Source organism: Homo sapiens, chromosome 12 (genome assembly GCF_000001405.40).
Source record: "Homo sapiens chromosome 12, GRCh38.p14 Primary Assembly".
Lineage (NCBI taxonomy): Eukaryota > Metazoa > Chordata > Mammalia > Primates > Hominidae > Homo > Homo sapiens.
The window spans coordinates 123,816,824-123,835,745 of record NC_000012.12 but is presented as its reverse complement, the minus strand read 5'-3'; the positions used below and the strand labels follow the sequence as shown (position 1 = coordinate 123,835,745).

Sequence of the window (18,922 nt, the reverse complement as noted above, 5' to 3'; positions counted from 1 at the left end):
GGCTGAGTTAGGAGGATCTCTTTAGCCCATAAGTTCAAGGCTACAGGGAGCCACGATCACATCACTGCACTCCAGCCTGGGCAACAGAGCAAAACCCTGTCTCTAAAAAATGAGAGAGAAGCTACTAATGGAGAAAATACAATGTGCAAATAAAAAGGTACAAATATCTCAAATCGCTGCCCTTCTTTCATTACTAAAATAGAAGCGAGTCACTTGCCCTTTTAAATACTTTATCGATGTTGTCAAACTTTTTTGCCTCTTCCGGAAGTTGTGATCTTATATCTCCACCAATAAAAATACTTTCAAGATACATCCATTTTCTCTGAACCAACATCCAAATCTGTAAATGTACAAAAGGTCAGTGTCAGCAGGGGTTATCAGATACCTCCAAAAGTGGATGGCAAAGCCCCATCCTGACATGAGACAGAACCAAATCAACTCAGGTGGGAGGACCTTCCAGGCAAGGTGACAGAGTGAGCATCTGCATGGCCAGCTCCCCTCCACTCCAAATGAATGGGAATGCTGGGGAAAGCATAACTAACGGCCACACTCAAAAGCAAAAGAAAGCTCTCCATGCAGCCCAGCACAGGTAGGAAAACTTCTAGTTATGAGAAGAGGGTGAAGCCTGTGACCCACAACAGCGAAGGACAGGCCATGCCAGACACTCAAAAAGTGAGCCAAGTACCATGTGCCCAGCAATTCCGCTCCTAGGTATTGACCCAAAAGAATTGAAAACAGGGACTCAAGTAGTTGTACATGAATGCTGACGGCAGCACTGTTCACAATAGCCAAAAGGTGGAAACAACCCAAATGTCTATCAGCCAATGGATAGAAAAACAACATGTGATCAATCCACATGATTTAATATTATTGGGCCATAAAAAGGACGGAAGCACTGACACATGCTACAACATGGAAGAACCTGGAAAACATCACGCTAAGTGACAAAAGCCAGACGTAAAGGATCATATATTGTGTCATTCCGCTTATATGAATTATCCAAAATAGGTAAATCCATTGACACAGAAAACAGACTGGAGGTTGCCAGGTGCTGGGGGAGGAGATGGTAGGGAATGACTGCTTAAGGGGTACTGGCTTGTCTTTTGGTTTGATGAAAATCTGGAATTAGAGGTGGTGGTTGCACAACACTGTGAATGTACTAAATGTCACTGAATTGTGCACTTTACAATCACTAGTTTTATGTTATTTAAATTTTACCTCAATAGAAAATTTTTTTTGACTGAACACAGTGGCTCATGCCTATAATCACAACACTTTGGGAGCCCGAGGTGGGCAGGTCACTTGAGGTCAGGAGTTCAAGACCAGCCTGGCCAACATGGTGAAACCCTATCTCTACTAAAAATACAAAAACTAGCCAGGCATAGTGGCACATGCCTGTAATCCCAGCCACTCGGGAGGCTGAGGCAGGAGAATCACTTGAATCCGGCTGGCAGAGGTTGCAATGAGCCGAGATGGCACCACTGCACTCCAGCCTGGGTGACAGAGCAAGACTCCATCTAAAAAAAAATTGTTTTTTACTCACAAATTAAAAAACAGTGCTATATCCCACATAAGAGCTTCCACTAACACAAAGTCATAGACAAAACAAACAAACAAAAAAGCAAGGAAAGGAAGCCCAGGCATGATGGAGGCCTGATCACACAGTTGGCCAGTGAACCAGGCCTGGCTTCATCCCACCCAAGGCTTGGATTGTGGCCAAAAACAAGGTGCTTGCCTGTGGTCTGGGGAGGAAAAAAAGGCAACTGCACAAAAATGGTGCAGTGAGCCTGGGTTGCTCACAGAGGTCTGGATAAGTATTGCCCAAAAGGAAGAAAGCCCCAAACCACCTACTATAAGACCTTGCTACTTCCCAGTGTGACAGGCCTCAGGTTAAAGAGGCTGCAAAAACAGATGACAAAGTGAAGCAAACACAAGAAAAAAACTACATGTGAGATGAGCTAGAAAAAAAAATCAAAATCACACAGAGGAAAATCCACCACCACAAGAGAGAGTCAACAGACATTTTTTTAAAAAGTGTAGAGAAATCGAAAAGGAATGTAAAATAAGTATGTTTCTAATTTTCAGTGTCATCAAGGAGGCAAAAGCATCCTTGCAACAAGAACAGGACAGTATCAAAGAAAAACAGAGATATATGAAAAAGAAGCAATTAGGAATCTTGGAAATGAAAATCATTCACTAAAATAAAAATTCAGATCAATTCCTTTGATCATGCACTCTTGTCCTCAAAATAAATCAAGACAAAAAAGTATGAAAGAGGATCATTTGTTTCTAAGCACAAAATATCCTCATATAAAAGTTCTAAGCACAAAATATCCTCATATAAAAGCCACTGCTATGCACTGGCTCTAATCCATCTTTTGTTCATCTTTTCTCTCACCTCAATGACTTCCCCTATTAGAGAAAGCGTTTTTTCCCATTTGTGAACAGTTTGCAGAAAAGGCCCCACAAATCTGCTTCCTGAGATGCTCTGCAGGTTGAAAGTGTTGTCATCAAGAGACTGAATAATTTCGTCAACAGAACCCAGGATGTAGCCTCGCTCCTGTGTGCCTTTGCAATACTTGACTACAGTGAATTTCATATTTTCCCACGTGTCTAGGATTTCCTTCACAGCCTGTTCAGGAATAGAAAAAGAATGATTCAGGCACACGAACTGAAAGGACCGAGCCCCAACCCAAAAACACCTTCCTTAGCTTGCTTTTGGCCAACAATGCAATCGGAGTCCTGGGTCTGTTTCCTGAAAAGTTGGGATTCTGTCATGGTAATAATTGCCACTTATCAAGCATTCGCTATGTGGCAGGTAAGCATGTCACATACACGATCTCATTCAGTCCTCAAAGCAAATACCTCAAAGTATATTGGTAGGGATTATTATCACCCACATTTTACAGAGATGGCAACTGGGGCTCAGACATGAAGCTCAGCTACTGAGCCCCAGAAACAGGGTCTAAACCCCACAGTCTGCCCCCGAAGTCTGCACAGTTATGAGATTCTGCCCCTGTGCTTACTCTACTGTCACAAAAACCAAATTACAAAATGATATGCCTCTTATGATTCCATATTCAAAACAAAAAATCTATATTGAGGCCGGGTGCGGTGGCTCATGCCTGTAATCCTAATACTTTAGGAGGTCAAGGTGAGCAGACTGCTTGAGCCCAGGAGTTCATGACCAGCCTTGGCAACATAGGGAGACCCTGTCTCAAAAAAAAAAAAATCTGTATTGATACATATGTATATGTGTATACATACGTACATGTGTACATTATATGTATATTATGCGTATCTTTGGTATATTGTGTACACTGTGTGTATATGTATACATGTGTATATACTATGTGTACCTGTGTATATTGGGTACACTGAACATTGTGTGTATATGTATATGTGTGTACATTATATGTACGTGTGCATACTAGGTACACTGTGTGCACATCGTGTGTATACGAATACATAGTGTACATTATGTGTACATGTATATATTAGGTACACTGTGTGTACATTATGTGTATATGTATACATGTATATATATTATGTGTACGTGTGTATATTAGGTACACTGTATGTACATTATGTGCATATGTACATGTGTGTATACATTATGTGTATATGTTAGGTACACTGTGTGCACACTGTATGTATATTTTGTGTGTTTGCATGCATATGTGTCTACATGCATATACGTGTGTATACATGTGTGGTGTACTATGTACAGTCATGTACTGCATAAGGATGTTTCATTCAGTGATGAATTTCATATATAATGGTGGTCCCATAGGATTATTAGACCATATTTTGGCCGTACCTTTCCTTTTTTTTTTTTTTTGAGACAGAGTCTTGCTCTGTCACCCAGGCTGGAGTGCAGTGGTGCGATCTCGGCTCACTGCAGCTCTGCCTCCTGGGTTCACACCATTCTCCTGCCTCAGCCTCCCGAGTAGCTGGGACTACAGGCACCCGCCACCACACCCGGCACCACACCCGGCTAATTTTTTTTGTATTTTTAGTAGAGACGGGGTTTCACCGTGTTAGCCAGGATGGTCTCGATCTCCTGACCTCGTGATCCACCCTCCTCGGCCTCCCAAAGTGCTGGGATTACAGGCGTGAGCCACCATGCCCGGCCTTGGCTGTACCTTTTCTATGTTTAGATACACACGTACTATTAGGTTACAATGGCTGGCCGTACTCAATGTAGTTCCTTGCTGTACAGGCTTGCAGTCTAGAGCAATAGATTCTACCCAATAGCCTAGGTGTGCAGTAGTCATCCCAGCTAGGTTTGTTTGCACAATCACGAATCAACTCAGGACACATTTCTCAGAATGTGTCCCTGCCATTAGGTGACACCTGACTATATACATATATGTGTAGGGATATGTGTATGTGTGTACCTGTGTACGTGTATGTTAGTGCATACAAATGCATGGGTGTATGTGCACATATATGAGTAGTATGTGTGTATGCATATGTATACATGTGTGCATGCATTTTTAAGTAGGCAAAGAAATACACTAAAAAGTTAATAATTATTTTCAGGTAGTGGGATTATGAATTTTTTTTCAATTTTCTACCATGAACATCCATTACATCTATTTAAAAATCAATGGCAAAATAAATAAATAAGAAACAATAAGAAAAAATTTTTTTAAACAATGGAAAATGAAACTACAATTGGGAACAACAAAAAATTTAATTAAGGAAATTCTATTTCTACAACAAATAATTCTTTATTACTGAAGTACAGCAGGTACTAGAGCAAATATGTTTTCTCTTTTTTGTTTGTTTTTCTTCTTTGAGACAAGGTCTCACCCTGTCACCCAGGCTGGAGTGCCATGGTGCGATCACAGTTCACTGCAGCCTCCACCTTCCAGGTTCAAGTGATCCTCCCACCTCAGCCTCCCAAGAAGCTGGGAGTAATGGCATACCACCACGCTCAGCTAATTTTTTTTTTTTTTTAGTATAGATGAGTTCTCCCTATTTTCTCTTTGAATTAAAAAAAGACTGTTTTCTCCAGCCTGTTTTTAACTGAAGTCTTACCTTCTCAATGGCAACCTCCTTGATTGCTGCTGTGACAATCTCATTGAGAACATCTGTGTGTTTGTGCAGTTCCATAGCAAACATATTTTCCAAGGTGAACGTTTCGGTCATTTCAAAAAAGACAGACGTTTTTTCCATAAGTTCTTTCCAATGCCTGAAAGCACATCAGCATTCAAATCTTTATGCTTACTGAATTTAGTGAGGAGTTCAATTACTCCCATTTAAATCACAGGACAAATCTCATTTTGTAAACTTCTTATAATGAAATTCTGCAACATGAGGACATCATTAGAAATATATTCCCAAAGTTCTCCAAAATCCCACTGGCCTCCAGAGTTAAACCGGAAAACAACATCTTGCAAAATACTGTATACACTATACACTAGTCTTCACGGCCTTCTCATAAAATACACAACTTTTAATTATTGGGAACGGCTTCTGTCATAGTCTCTCAACCAATGACCTCAACCTCTGTTGAATCACTCAGCCTTTTTGAGAGCCTCATGTAAATTATGAGCTCTCGTGCATTTGATAAATATTTCAGTGCTGACTCCGTGCCAGGCAGTGGACTGGGGTACAGAGTTATCAAGGGCAAGGCTCCTAGCTTCAGAGAACCTGCCACTTACTTGGGGAGACAAACAACAAACAATCAACAAATCTATAAATTAAATAATGACATAGGGTTTTGAGTACTATGAGAAAACTGCAGTGTGCCAGAGGAGGTATGAAGGGGCCCATTCAGACGGGACAGTCGGGGCAGACTCCTGTGCACACAGACACAACGGGGGCAGCTCTGCTCTTCACCTGACTGGCCTTCCTTTAAGGTTTTGCATTTGGCCTGTGAATTTGCCCATGTTTTAGTTCTGTGTATATGGAATGGGTGTGAGTAAGGCAGCTAAGCATGACGCTAGACAGCAGAACGCCACGTACCCAGCACGTGAGCAGCAAGTGTTGAATCACTGAGTGTTGTAAACACACACACACACACACGGCCATGGAAATGGTCAGAAAGGAGGCCCTACTGGTTCATCGGTCTCTGAACCCCCTGGCCTAGCACAGCACGGACAGGAAGGAGGGTGTCAGAACTGAAACTGAAGGGTAAGGGTCATCAGTGCCTGCTCTGTGGCTTATGGTCACTTGCTTTTTATTTTTTTCCCCCTTTTCCCATGAAGCTGAAGGTCTCACCACTGAACGCTGAAACTTAACCTTCACTGGCTACTATGGATAACATTCACAGGCCACGATGGCGATGGTGACTTTGGTTGTTTTTCAGGAAGTTGAACCAACTCCTCTGTCCAGTTCCAACTGGTTGAGACCACTGACCTTTCAACTGGGCCTGTGCAAGTGCCCCAGAGGTGGCCTTTTTGACGTTGGAAGGCCAAACACTCTACCCTCAGGCCATGCCGATGCCCCCACTTTCTGTGCCTATGTCCTGTGAAATGCTGTGAACCCCAGCTACACTTGCTCAGAATGAACCTGTTACTTCCTTTTTCCCACCACCAACCACCTTCCCCCTCAACTTCGACCACCCCACTCCCCTAATGCCTAAACATCCCTAAGCCTTATCTTCAGGAAGGCAGATGTGAGGGCTGCTCACCTGCCTCCTTGCTTGGCGGCCTTGCAAATAAATCTGTTTCGCAAAACCCATGTCACGGCGATTGATGGACTGCATGTGGGCAGAGCGGACCTGGGGCCAGCCTGTGACATAACCCTGGTGGTGGATTAGAGGGTCCACACTCAACATAACTCAGCCCTGAGTCACTGGGAGAGAGTGATTCCCTCTCCAGTTCCCGCCCAGTCCTTTCAATTACAGTAAATTACATCGAAGGGAAAGTCTCCTCTTTGTGCTTCTGTGTGACAGAGCAGGAGCAACCTCATCTTGGACAAACACCACCACTTTAAGGTCCAGCTCCCTTTCCAGCCCATGCATTTTAAGGAAATCACTTATCTTCTAACTACAAGCCACCAGAAAGAGCAGACAGGAAAACATAGACAAGACAGCTCAGGCACAGAGGGAGGAGAGGAGGAAGTCTCTTGGGTAACTGCCAAACTTCACCCTTATACAATGGGTCCCAGTAAAACAGTGGACCTTAATAAGAACATTCCTTTCCCTTCAGGTGCACTAAGATAGGGGAGCTAAAAGCAGACTCGGCGAGTATGCCTGCTGCTGCAGAAAAATGAATGGGAATAGACACACAACTCTCCCTCCCAGATAAGCACAACAGAGAGACACAGAAGCAGTCCAAGCCTCAGATAAGCTCTCCCACCCTAAATCCTTAAAAACTCTTAGTCTCTAAGAGAGTGTGGCTCTGACCTAACTTGGCCAGAATCCCCTCTCAGGTTTGTTTTCTCTAAAATAAACCTGTTTTGACTGGCAAGCCACCTTTTGTGTTTCTTTCCTCTTTCTTTAATTCTTACGCTGTGTCCTCAGTCCCTCCCCAGGGTCATTCACCTTTCTTAGAGCGAAGGTCTCTGGCTCAGAGACAGGCGACTGTTTTGAGCTAGTTTTTTTTTTTTTAATAATTACTTTCTATTTCTGGCAAGAGCTTTTGGTTTTCTCTTTACAGTGGTGGTGGAAGTTTATTTTTAGAATAACATTCATTTCCATAAAAAAGAAACTGATAGGAAGAAAAATATAAAGCCATGACAGCATAGATGATACTCAGATCTGACAAAAATGATGAGACAGGACCAAAGTTTGAGAAACACTGGGTTATGGGATTATAAAACCGAGAACTTTAGCTAGAAAATGCCTACTTCTACCTAGTTTTACAGATGAGGAAACTGAAGCCTGCAAAGGTAAAGGTGAGTGCTCCAGGGAAGCCAGCAGACAGTGAAAAGAGGGCTAAGACTCCACGTCACCAGGGCCTGAGGGCTGCCTGCTCCTTGTTGAGAGGGAGAGACAGATGTAACAGGTGTTGAAAACAAGCCAGCACTTACGAGAGACTTTCTCAGTGTGAACTCAAGGATAGGAAGGGAACCAAAGAAGGGATGACTTTCTCACTAGGGAAAATGAAGTCACTTGATGTCATGGCATGACTAGATGACCACACTTTGGAAAACATGACCGAGGAATAGAGGAACACGAGCAGAAGCATAACTCACAAATGAGGACTGTAACTCCTAATTCGTGTCTGTGTGGTGCCATCACCAAATAAACACAGACCCATGCCCCCTCTGTCCCACCCACAGGGCTGGCTATCCCATCAGTATGGTGGCCACAAGCCACGCGTGTCTATGGAGCACTTGAAACGGGGCAAGCCCAGGTTGAAATAGGCTATAGATATAAAATACACATTGCACTTTGACATATTTTTTAAGAAGAATGTAAAATATCTCATGAATAAATGTTTCATGTTGATTACATGTTGAAATAATGTTTGGGATATATTGAGTTAATTAAAATATACTATTAAAATTAATTTCACCTGTTTTTACTCTTTTACTGTAGCAGCTAAAAAACTGTAAATTACATATGTGAGTTCCGTTTGATGTCTGCTGGATGGGGCTGATCAAGGTCACTTACTATAGTTTTTTAAATCTTCGAGAAAAGCAACTGCAAACGCCCACTTTGCACCTGCTGGGATCTTTCTTTTTTAAAAGAATCCTGTGGTTGACAGTTTTACAGACACTTTACATAGAAACAACATTATAGAACTGTGTCGTGCCCATGTATAGCCCTGCGGCATTGTTGAAATTGTGTGCTTCATCATCAGACCAAAGATAATGTACTGAGGGAAACAATTTTAACTAAAAGCTCCTCCCACACTTTTACATCTGCGGACAGAGGACAAAACAAACCTGTCTCTTAGTGCCTCGTTTTTCAAGTCAAGAAGTAAAGGAATCGAGTCTTTGAATGCCTTCATTTTTGCTTCCAAGTAGTAGGTCACTGATAAGCCACGGACTGGCCGAGGTAGCTTTCTGAGAGCCCTGAGAAAACCTTCAATTCCTTCCTGGAGAATCTGCACATTCAGGTTGATCCAAAGGGTCTGAGACCATTCTTCTTTTGCAACCTGGAAACGTGCAAGGAACAGCTCCATCAACAAAGACCCCTTTGGAAATGCAACAAGGAGAGCAAGTTCTTGACTCTTAGTCACGTTCAGATATTTTAAAGTATTACCCATCTATCTACAACTACCTGAAATTCACAAACAAGAGGTTGACTACAAGGATCTAAAACAACAAGAAAAGAATTCCACTTTTTGTAAGCTTTTGCAAAAATAATGCTGTATCTGAGGATGTGTGGGATCCAGAAATACATCTTCCCTTTCTAAAGACAAAAGTGAGAGGTATAAAGTAATTAACAGGTGTTTTTTAAATCAGGGAGTTGCGTGGGTCTTAAAGGATGTACTTCATTCAGGTGCTGTCATAGCTTGCTTCTTTTCCCTGATGAAAGCAGCTAAGGTTACAAAATATTTACACTCTAGATCACTAATCCAAGAATCTGTTTACAAACCATCAGGTTGAGGCTAAGAAGTGAGGAAAAACATGTTCCTACTTGATGATTGTAAAGAGAAGATTTTCTGTGTTATATTTTCCTGAGATTTAATGTAAAAATTATTATTTTTATTTTTTTTGGAGACAGGGTCTCGCTGCCACCCAGGCTGTAGTGCAATGGTGTGATCACAGTTCATTGCAGCCTCAACCTCCTGGCCTCAAGTGATCCTCCCATCTCAGCCTCCTGAGTAGCTGAGACGACAGACATGCACCACCAGGCCTGGATATTTTTTATTTTATTTTGCAGAGACAGGGGGTCTTGCTAGGTTGCCTAGGCTGGCCTCAAACTCCTGGGCTCAAGCAATCCTCCTGCCTTAGCCTCCAAGTGCTGGGATTACAGGCATGAGCCACCACACCTGGCCTGTTTTTCTAACAGCTTTATTGAGGATTAACTGGTATATAATAAGCTGTCCATAACTAAAGGTACAATCTGCAAAGTTTTGACAGGTGTGCATGCCTGTGAAAGCACCACCACAATCAAGATAGCAAACTCATTCATCACCCTCAAAAGCTGCCCCATTTCCCTGTGTCATAACCCCTCCCATCTCTCTCCTCCTGTCCCTACCCCCAGTTAACCACAGATCTGTGTACTGCCACCATAAATTCGTTTGCATTTTCCAGGGTTTTTTATGAATGGAATAATACAATATGCATTCCTCTGTATCTGGCTTCTTTCGCTCAGCATGACGATTCTGAGAGTCGCCCATGTTGTTGCGTGGATGCGCTGAGAACTGGTTCAATCCTCTACCTTGCTGAGTAGTAGTATTCCGTGGTGTGGATGAGCCACAGCTTATTTATCCATTCACTTAATGGGCATTTGGGTTGTTTCTAGTATTGGGCTATTACCAACAATGCTGTTTATGAACATTCATGCAGAAGTCTCTGCAAGGACCATGCTTTCTCTTCTCTCAGGTAAACACCTTGGACTCGCTCCATTTAGGCTTCCACGGCCACACTCCATTGATTTTTTTCTTGTTGCAGTCACCAGTGGCCTCCACAATATGCAATACTGTGATCAATCTTCCATCCTCTTCTCACCTGATCTATCAGCAGCATCTGGTGCAGTTGGCCAGTCCTACCTCCTGGAAACACGTTTCCAAGATGTCACACTCACCTGTTTGTTCTCCTACCACCTGGGCCACTCCTCCTCTTCCTCGTCTTTCCTTTTTTAGGGACGTATTCTCATGGCATTTAATGTTGGAGAGACCCAGGCTCAGACCTCGCTCCTCTCCTCCACCAACCCCACTCCCAAGTGTACCGGGCTGAATAGCGTCCCCCAAAAATGCACGTCCACCCAGAACCTCAGAATGAAGCCTCACTTGGAAAGAGGGTCTTTGCAGAGGTAGTTAGGGTGAGGTCATACTGGATTAGAGTGGGCCCTAAATCCAGTGACTGGTGTCCGTATAAGAAGAGAAAACAGACACAGAGGCACAGAGGGAAGACAGCAATGTGATGAGGGAGGCAGAGACAGGAGCAACACAGCCGCAAGCCACGGAACGCCAGGGACAGTCAAAAGCCACCAGGAGCTGGAAGAGGCAAGAAGAAGCCTCTTCTGCAGCCTCCAGAGTGATCGTGGCCCTGCAGACACCTTGATTTTGCACTCCTGGCCTCCAGAACCGTGAGGAGATACATTTCTGTTGTTTTCAGCCTCCTGGTCTGTATTCACAACCATGTATTCATAATCATTTGTTCTGGCAGCCCCAGGAAACGAAGGCACCAGGTGAGCCCATCTGAACTGGTGGCTCAGTACCTTCCGCACCTGGACACTCCCAATTCACACCTCCAGCTCTCCTCTGAGCTCCAGACAAATACATCCAAGTGCTGCTTCCTCAACATCACCACAGGAACGTCCAGCAGACATCACCTTGCCCTGAATTCCAGATGTTCACCATCGTCCCCAAACCTTCTTTTCCTGGAGTCTTCCCTTAAGAGTGACTCCACTCTTCCGGCTCCTCAGGCCAAAAACCTTGGAGTCTTCCTTGTTCTCTTGCTCTTACATCCCACATCCACACCTCCAGGAGGTCCCACTGACTCTACCTGCAAACCAGATCCAGAATCCACCCATGCTTCCCAACCTGCACCGCTGCCACCCCAGGATCCCCTGGGATTATGATGACAGTCCCCTGCCCAGCCTCCCAGAAGCCACCCAGTGTGTCACTGAGACTCTTCTCAGCACACAACTTTGAAAAGCAATTGCTAGGAAAAAATAAATTTCAAGGAGAGTGGAAGTCACTCTAGGTGATGAAATGTCCCTTAACATCCACAGACCAGAGTAGGCTGGGGGGACCAAGCTATGTCTCAATATTGGATTTTTAAAAATGCTTATTTTGCTACAGAAAAAAAAACCAGAAAGAATGAATAAGACCTAGTATTTGATAGCATGGCAGGGTGACTATAGTCAATAAAAATTGTATATTTTTAAATAACTAAAGGAGCATAATTGGATTGTTTGTAACACAAAGGATAAAAGCTTGAGGGGATGGACATCCCATTCCCCGTGATGTGATTATTACACATTGCATGCCCGTGTCAAAACATCTATGTATCCCATATAGACACCTACTATGAACCCAGAAAAATTAAACATTTTAAAACCACTTATTTTGACATGTGTGTGGTTGTTCTCAGTTCTCATGATACCTTTCCTTTTAAAAGCTGACGGTATGTTTTTAACTTTATGAATTTTTTGCCTGGTGCAGGCACCAGGTCTCATCACTTTCCACCCCATCTCTGGAATCTTCTCTCCTCTCTATTCCCTCTATAATTGTCCTAAAATGCAAGCTCCCATCCCTTCTGCCAGCACTGGGGCAGTGACCTCCTAAAGGACCCCCTGCCTGCAATCCCCCGGCTGCCTCCGGAGTCCCTTCTCACGGCTTCATCTCCACCGGCCGCTTCGCACATCCCAACCCCATTTCCTGGTGCATCCATGGTTGGTAAAGCCACCAGTCTGGATGAAAGGTTATGGACACAAGACACAACTTCAAATCTCCTGTCTCTGCTCCTGCCCAGCGCTCTGCCTGGAAAGCCTTGTTCTGCACCAGGCAAAAGCCTGCTCTGGTTCTGAGCCTCACTCCCAGGCCACCTCCTCAGCAGCATTCCCTGGGCCAGTGGGCCACTCTCCTTCCTCCTCTGCAAGCTCAGGACTCTGTCCACCTCATTTCCAGCACATATCTTGGGGGCGTGGTTATTTGTTCACATATCGGTGCAAAGGTGAATCCTGTGTGTCAAGTGGACGCTGGTGTTTTGTGAGAGATACTGAGTGAGATGAGCGTTTGCATTGGGGGACTGAGTAAAGCAGGTGGCCCTCCCCAACATGGATGGCCTCACTCAATCCACTGCAGGCCTGAATCGAACAAAAGGCTGAGGAAGGTGGAATGCAACCTCTGTGCCTGACTGTCTTCAAGCTGGGACGTCAGTGTTCTCCCGCATTCGGACTTGGACTCAGACTAGAATCTATACCATCAGCTCTCCAGGGTCTCTAGCTTGCCAACTGCAGACCATGGGATTTCTCAGCCTCCATAATCACAGGAGCCAATTCCTCATCACAAATCTCATAGATATAGGTATAGATTAGACACAGATATATAGATATACATTAGATATAGATTAGAAATAGATATGTAGATTAGATACAGATAGATATAGATTAGATAATGTAATACAGATGTAGATTAGATATAGATACAGGTATAGATACAGGTTATAGATACAGATTAGATATAGACAGATATAGATATAGATACACATATCTCCTATTGATTCTGTTTCTCAAGAACCCAGACTAACATAGTCAGTCTCCCTTGGGGACTCAAGAAGGGCAGGAACGGGCAAACATGACTCCTTTTCTGGACCCCACACTCCAACCAGCACAGCACTGAGCTATAAAGAACTAAGTCAATAGATAAATGAATGAATAGCATGAATTTGCATGGGAAACATACCAATGAGAGGCACCCAAATGACATGACATTTGCAACTTTTTTATTTTTATTTTTTGAGACAGAGTCTCACTCTGTCACCCAGGCTGGAGTGCAGTGGCGCAATCTCAGCTCACCGCAACCTCCACCTCCTGGGTTCAAGCGATTCTTGTGCCTTAGCCTCCCAAGCAGCTGGGATCACAGGCATGTGCCACCATATCTGGCTAAGTTTTGTATTTCTTAGTAGAAATGGAGTTTTGCCATGTTGGCCAGGCTAGTCTCGAACTCCTGGCCTCAAGTGATCCACCCGCCTTGCCTCCCAAAGTGCTGGGATTACAGGTGTGAGCCACTGTGCCCGGAACTTTTTTTTGTATTTTTTAGTAGAAACGGGGTTTCGCCTTGTTGCCCAGGCTAGTCTCGAACTCCTGGCCTCAAGTAATCTGCCCATCTCAGCCTCCCAAAGTGCTGGGATTACAAGCATGAGCCACCACACCAGGCTGACACGGCAACTTTTAATCTCCGCTTGCAACTAAACAGTTTACCCCATGCCTTAACCAAGCCCTTGACCTCCAAAGAGAGTTCTTTTCTATGATGACAGTAAAATACATAAAAAAAAAATTGTCATTTTAATCATTTTAAAATATGTAATTCCAGGCTGGGTGCAATGGCTCATGCCTGTAATCCCAGCACTTTGGGAGGTCAAGGCAGGAGGATCGCTTGAGATCAGGAGTTCCAGACCAGCCTGGGTAACACAGTGAGACATTGCCTCTACTAAAACTAAAAAAAGAATAGCTGGGCATGGTGGTGCACCTCTGTAGTCCCAACTGCTTTGCAGGCTGAGGCAGAAGGATCACTTCGACCCAGGACTTCGAGGCTGCAGTGAGTTATTATCACACCACTGCACCCCAGCTTGGGTGTTAGAGCGAGACTTTGTCTCAAAAATAAAAATAAAATGTACAATTCCGTGGCATCAAGTACTTTCACAATGTCACACAGCCAGCGCCACTATCTATTTCCAGAACTTTTTTTTTTTTTGAGATGGAGTTTCGCTCTTGTCGCCCAGGCTGGAGTGCAATGGCGCAATCTGGACTCACTGCAACCTCCACCTCCCAGGTTCAAGTGATTCTCCTGCCTCAGCCTCCTGAGTAGCTGGGATTACAGGCACCTGCCACTATACCTGGCTGACTTTTGGATTTTTAGTAGAGACAGGGTTTCACCACGTTGGCCAGACTGACCTCGAACTCCTGACCGCAGGTGATGCACCCGCCTTGGCCTCCCAAAGTGCTGGGATTACAGGCGTGAGCCACCGCACCCAGCCTATTTCCAGAACTTTTTCAACACCCCAAATGGAAACCCTGTACCCATAAGCAATCACTCCCCATCCCCCTTCCCTGCGGCCAAAATGAGCGTTTCCACAACGTCAGACCCAAGCTCATTATTATGGTGGCATCAAAGTCTGCAGGGCTTAAGTAATTCCTACATCCCCTTCAGTGAGCCTGAGTCCTTCGCTTTCAGGGAGATGCTCACCTTTAGTCCTTCATAGAGCTCGTAAATCATCCTCAGCCCACTCATTTCCTTCTGCACTTTCAGCAGCTCTGGGTACATTGTAATAGGAAGATCGAAAAGTTTCTCAGCGTTAGCCAGTTCCTGACGGCTCTTTTCATGTCTTGCCAGCTCTCTTTCATAAACACCTAAAAGCTCTACTCCTAGTAAATAAATACACCGATGAGTGAATAAATACAATTTTAAGGTGTACAAAATTGAATAAGAAATCATGCATAATGTATCTCAATTATAATTTCATCCTCATAAACCACACGGGAAGACAAATTTAGAATCATGGCACCATTCTAAGTAAAACCAAAAGACCAATGACATCTGCAGTCTCCTCCAGTTAGAAAATTGTGCCTAATTCTCACAACCAGGTCATTCAGAAAGGAGACTATTTTAAGGGAATCTGAGGTGGTCTATGTTGTGGTCGACATCACCATCCTTTGCCGCCCCCTTGAGAACATCATCATCCTACTGATAACTCCCTTACCACTCTAACTTCCCAGTTCTATGCTTCTCCCCCAATTCCAATGACCACTACCACTCTAGGTCACTACGTCCCTGCTCACAATCATCTACTCAAATGCCACATTTCCCAGATGCCTTTTTTGAGCATCCTTAAATAAACGTCACCCATTTCTTTGGAAGCCACAGCAGTCTTTGGTTTGTCTCATGGTATTTTTTTTGTCTCATGGTATTTACCAAATTCTCTTTAGAATAAGAATTTTAGGACTCGGCTCAGTGGCTCAGGCCTGTAATCCCAGCACTTTGGGAGGCTGAGGCGGGAGGATCACTTGAGGTCAGGAGTTCAAGACCAGCCTGGCCAACATGGTGAAACCCTGTCTCTACTAAAAATACAAAAATTAGCAAGGCATGGTGGCATGTGCCTGTAGTCTCAGCTACTCAGGAGGCTGAGGCAGGAGAATCACTTGAACCCAGGAGGTGGAGGTTGCGGTGAGCTGAGATTGTGCCACTGCACTCCAGTCTGGGTGACAGAGCGAGACTCTGTCTCAAAAAAAAAAAAAAAAAAAAAACAGAATTTTAGTATTTTTAACTTGTCACCATTTTAGCCTATGTGATGTGAAGGGCAGAGGACAAGCATCTGAATCCAAAGAATAAATGTAACAGGCATTAGAGAGGCAGATGGATGGATAAGACGCTGCCTTTGTAAAGGCAGTCGCTGGTGTTTAAGATTTCTGAGCTGCGGCAGAAACCTCTGTATCCCCCACAGGAGTGGAGGCTGCTCCTTGGCACTTCTCTCAACACCTTCGGGTAGCAGGCACTCAACAATCAATGAGTCGCATTAATCCAGCTTTTTTTTTTTTTAATGTGACCACTAAAATGAGCCAAGAAAAAAGTATTTGAGGAAGAAATAAATATTTTAATCACGGCACCATCATCACTTGCCATAAAACTCTTAAGCAAAACATACTCAAACATTTGCTACTCAGATCGCTCAGTAAGACCAACAGGAACATTCTTACCTTTATCAAGATCATCACCAACAGAACCAGGGCCTTCACTGTAAAAACGCTTTGCAAACTCCTCTATCTGAACTCTGTAGTTCATTATTTCGCCTCGAGTAAGCTGAGAAAAACGAGGTTACATTAATTTAGCCCAAATACGTTTTTCAATGTCTTTACTCAGGAAGTGAAATTTAAAAGGTACCTCTGTGAAAGTTCTCTTTATGTCCCCAAGAGCATGCTCCACATTCACTGAATCATTAAACAGATTGGACCATATGCTCTCAATCTTATCAACCAGTTCTTTCTCTGCATCAGGAGGCTAATTAGGAGAAACAAAAAACAGAATAAACAACAAATGATGAGCAATTTGGAATTGAAATTGATGGTCAAAGTTACCTCCCAGGGACTTCTGCTTGTGGCAACAGGAGGCTAGGTAATTCAAACCAACTCAAAAGCTGATTGAAATATTAAGGCCAGACATGGCCAGACTGGGATTACATGGCTCATGGCTGTAATCCCAGTACTTTGGGGGGCTGAGGCAGGAGGATCCCTTGAGCTCAGGAGTTTGAGACCAGCCTGGGCAACACAGTGAGACTGTATCTCTGTAAATATAAAAAGAAAAAGAAATTTTAAAAAGAAATATTAGGCTGGGCACAGTGGCTCACGCCTATAATCCCAGAACTTTTGGAGGCTGAGGCGGGTGGGTCACCTGAGGTCAGGAGTTCGAGACCAGCCTGGACAACATGGTGAAATCCCTTCTCTACTAAAAATACAAAAATTAGCCAGGCGTGGTGGCAGGAGCCTGTAGTTCCAGCTACTCAGGAGGCTGAGGTGGCAGAATCGCTTGAACCTGGGAGGCAGAGGTTGCAGTGAGTCGAGATCACACCACTGCACTCCAACCTCGGTGACAGAGCAAGATTCTATCTCAAAAAAATAAAGTAAAATAAAAATAAATATTAAAGTTGAATTTTATAATTAAAATAAAATCAGTATAAAATCATTTTTAAAAATAAAGAGATAGAGGCTGGGTGCAGTAGCTCACGTCTGTAATCCCAGCACTTTGGGAGGCTGAGACAGGCGGATCACCTGAGGTCAGGCGTTCAAGACCAGCCTGACCAACGTGGAGAAATGCTGTATCTACTAAAAATACAAAATTAGCTGGGGTGGTGGCGCATGCCTATAATTGCAGCTACTCAGGAGGCCGAGGCAAGAGAATCACTTGAACCCAGGAGTCGGAGGTTGCAGTGAGCCAAGATTGTGCCATTGCACTCAGCCTAGGCAACAAGAGTGAAACTCCATCTCAAAAAAAAAAAAAAAAAGAGAAAAAGAAATAGAGATATTACAGAGAGATAAGCCCTTCATAAACTAAAGCCCAGCTTCAAATCAACTTAATCTCTGATTAGAATAAGTTTAGCTTAGCTTGCTAATGTACCCAGTTATGGTGTCTGTTAGAAGCAAAAATAAATCTCCTCTGATAAAATATAACATCACCCAACGCCTCCAATCCTCTCTCTCCAATTTATCACACAGGCTGTTAAGAACTCAGTTAGAAATGCCAGCCATATAAAGACACGAAAGAACTTAAACAAAACCAAGAGATTCACACACAACATAAATGATCACGACAGAGTTATAAGACACACAATTTAAAATAATTTTATTTAATAGAGTCAAGGAAACAAAAGACAAAAAATTGAGAATTTTGGTAGAGCACAGGAAATTGTTTTTAAAATGGAAATTCTGGAATGGATAATGACAATACCTGAAATCAAGCACTCAAAGGATTGTTTAAGGAACCGGGAAAAGCAGATCAGACATAAATAAATAGAAAATTAATGAACTTAAAGTTTAGGACAAAGTATTAGAATAAACCACAGAAAGAAAAGGCAGAAAGGAATGTAAGATGTACAGGGTATTGTAGAAAGGTCCAACATATGTGGAATTGGAGTCCCAGAAGGGAAAAAAAATAAGGCAAAAACTGTTAATTTTCCAAAACTAGGTAAAGACATCAGCCTGCAGATTTTGAATGTACTACAAATCTCAATCAGGAAAAAAAAAAGAAGAACAAAACAAAACAAAAGAACCTAGTTACATCATATTACAACTGCTGAAAACCAAAGACCAAAAAAAAATTCTTAAAAGCAGACCAAAAAAAAAAAAAAAAAAAAAGTTAGACTGGACTACCTTGAAAGGGAGCAACAAAAAGATTAACAGTCAACTCCTCCGTCAAAACAATAGAGGCCAGAAGATGATGGAATAATATCCACACATAGAAGGGATAAAAAAAACCCAAAGTTGGTGTTTCCAAAAGATCAACAAACTAAGTATTTGTAAGGAGACGGAGCAACTGAAACCCTTATTCGTGCTGGTATGGATGTAAAGGGGTACCATCACTTTGGAAAATTAGCAGAATCTAGTGAAGCTGAACACGTGGATTCCTGTAAC

The 18,922-nt window shown here is 43.3% G+C and overlaps 1 protein-coding gene across 11 annotated transcripts in view; it reads right to left on the bottom strand.

Moving 5' to 3' along the window:
* The window catches only part of DNAH10 (dynein axonemal heavy chain 10), a 173,420-nt gene that overhangs the window by 99,975 nt on the left and 54,523 nt on the right, over positions 1-18,922 (bottom strand). For all 11 annotated transcript variants that reach the window (NM_001372106.1, XM_017018960.2, XM_011538016.3 and 8 more), the window contains 7 exons: positions 16,680-16,796; positions 16,496-16,598; positions 14,988-15,166; positions 8,848-9,059; positions 5,047-5,200; positions 2,399-2,632; positions 218-340 (listed from right to left, as the gene is read on the bottom strand). In NM_001372106.1, the coding sequence (NP_001359035.1) occupies positions 218-340; positions 2,399-2,632; positions 5,047-5,200; positions 8,848-9,059; positions 14,988-15,166; positions 16,496-16,598; positions 16,680-16,796 (1,122 nt within the window). The remainder of the gene's footprint in view (positions 1-217; positions 341-2,398; positions 2,633-5,046; positions 5,201-8,847; positions 9,060-14,987; positions 15,167-16,495; positions 16,599-16,679; positions 16,797-18,922) is intronic.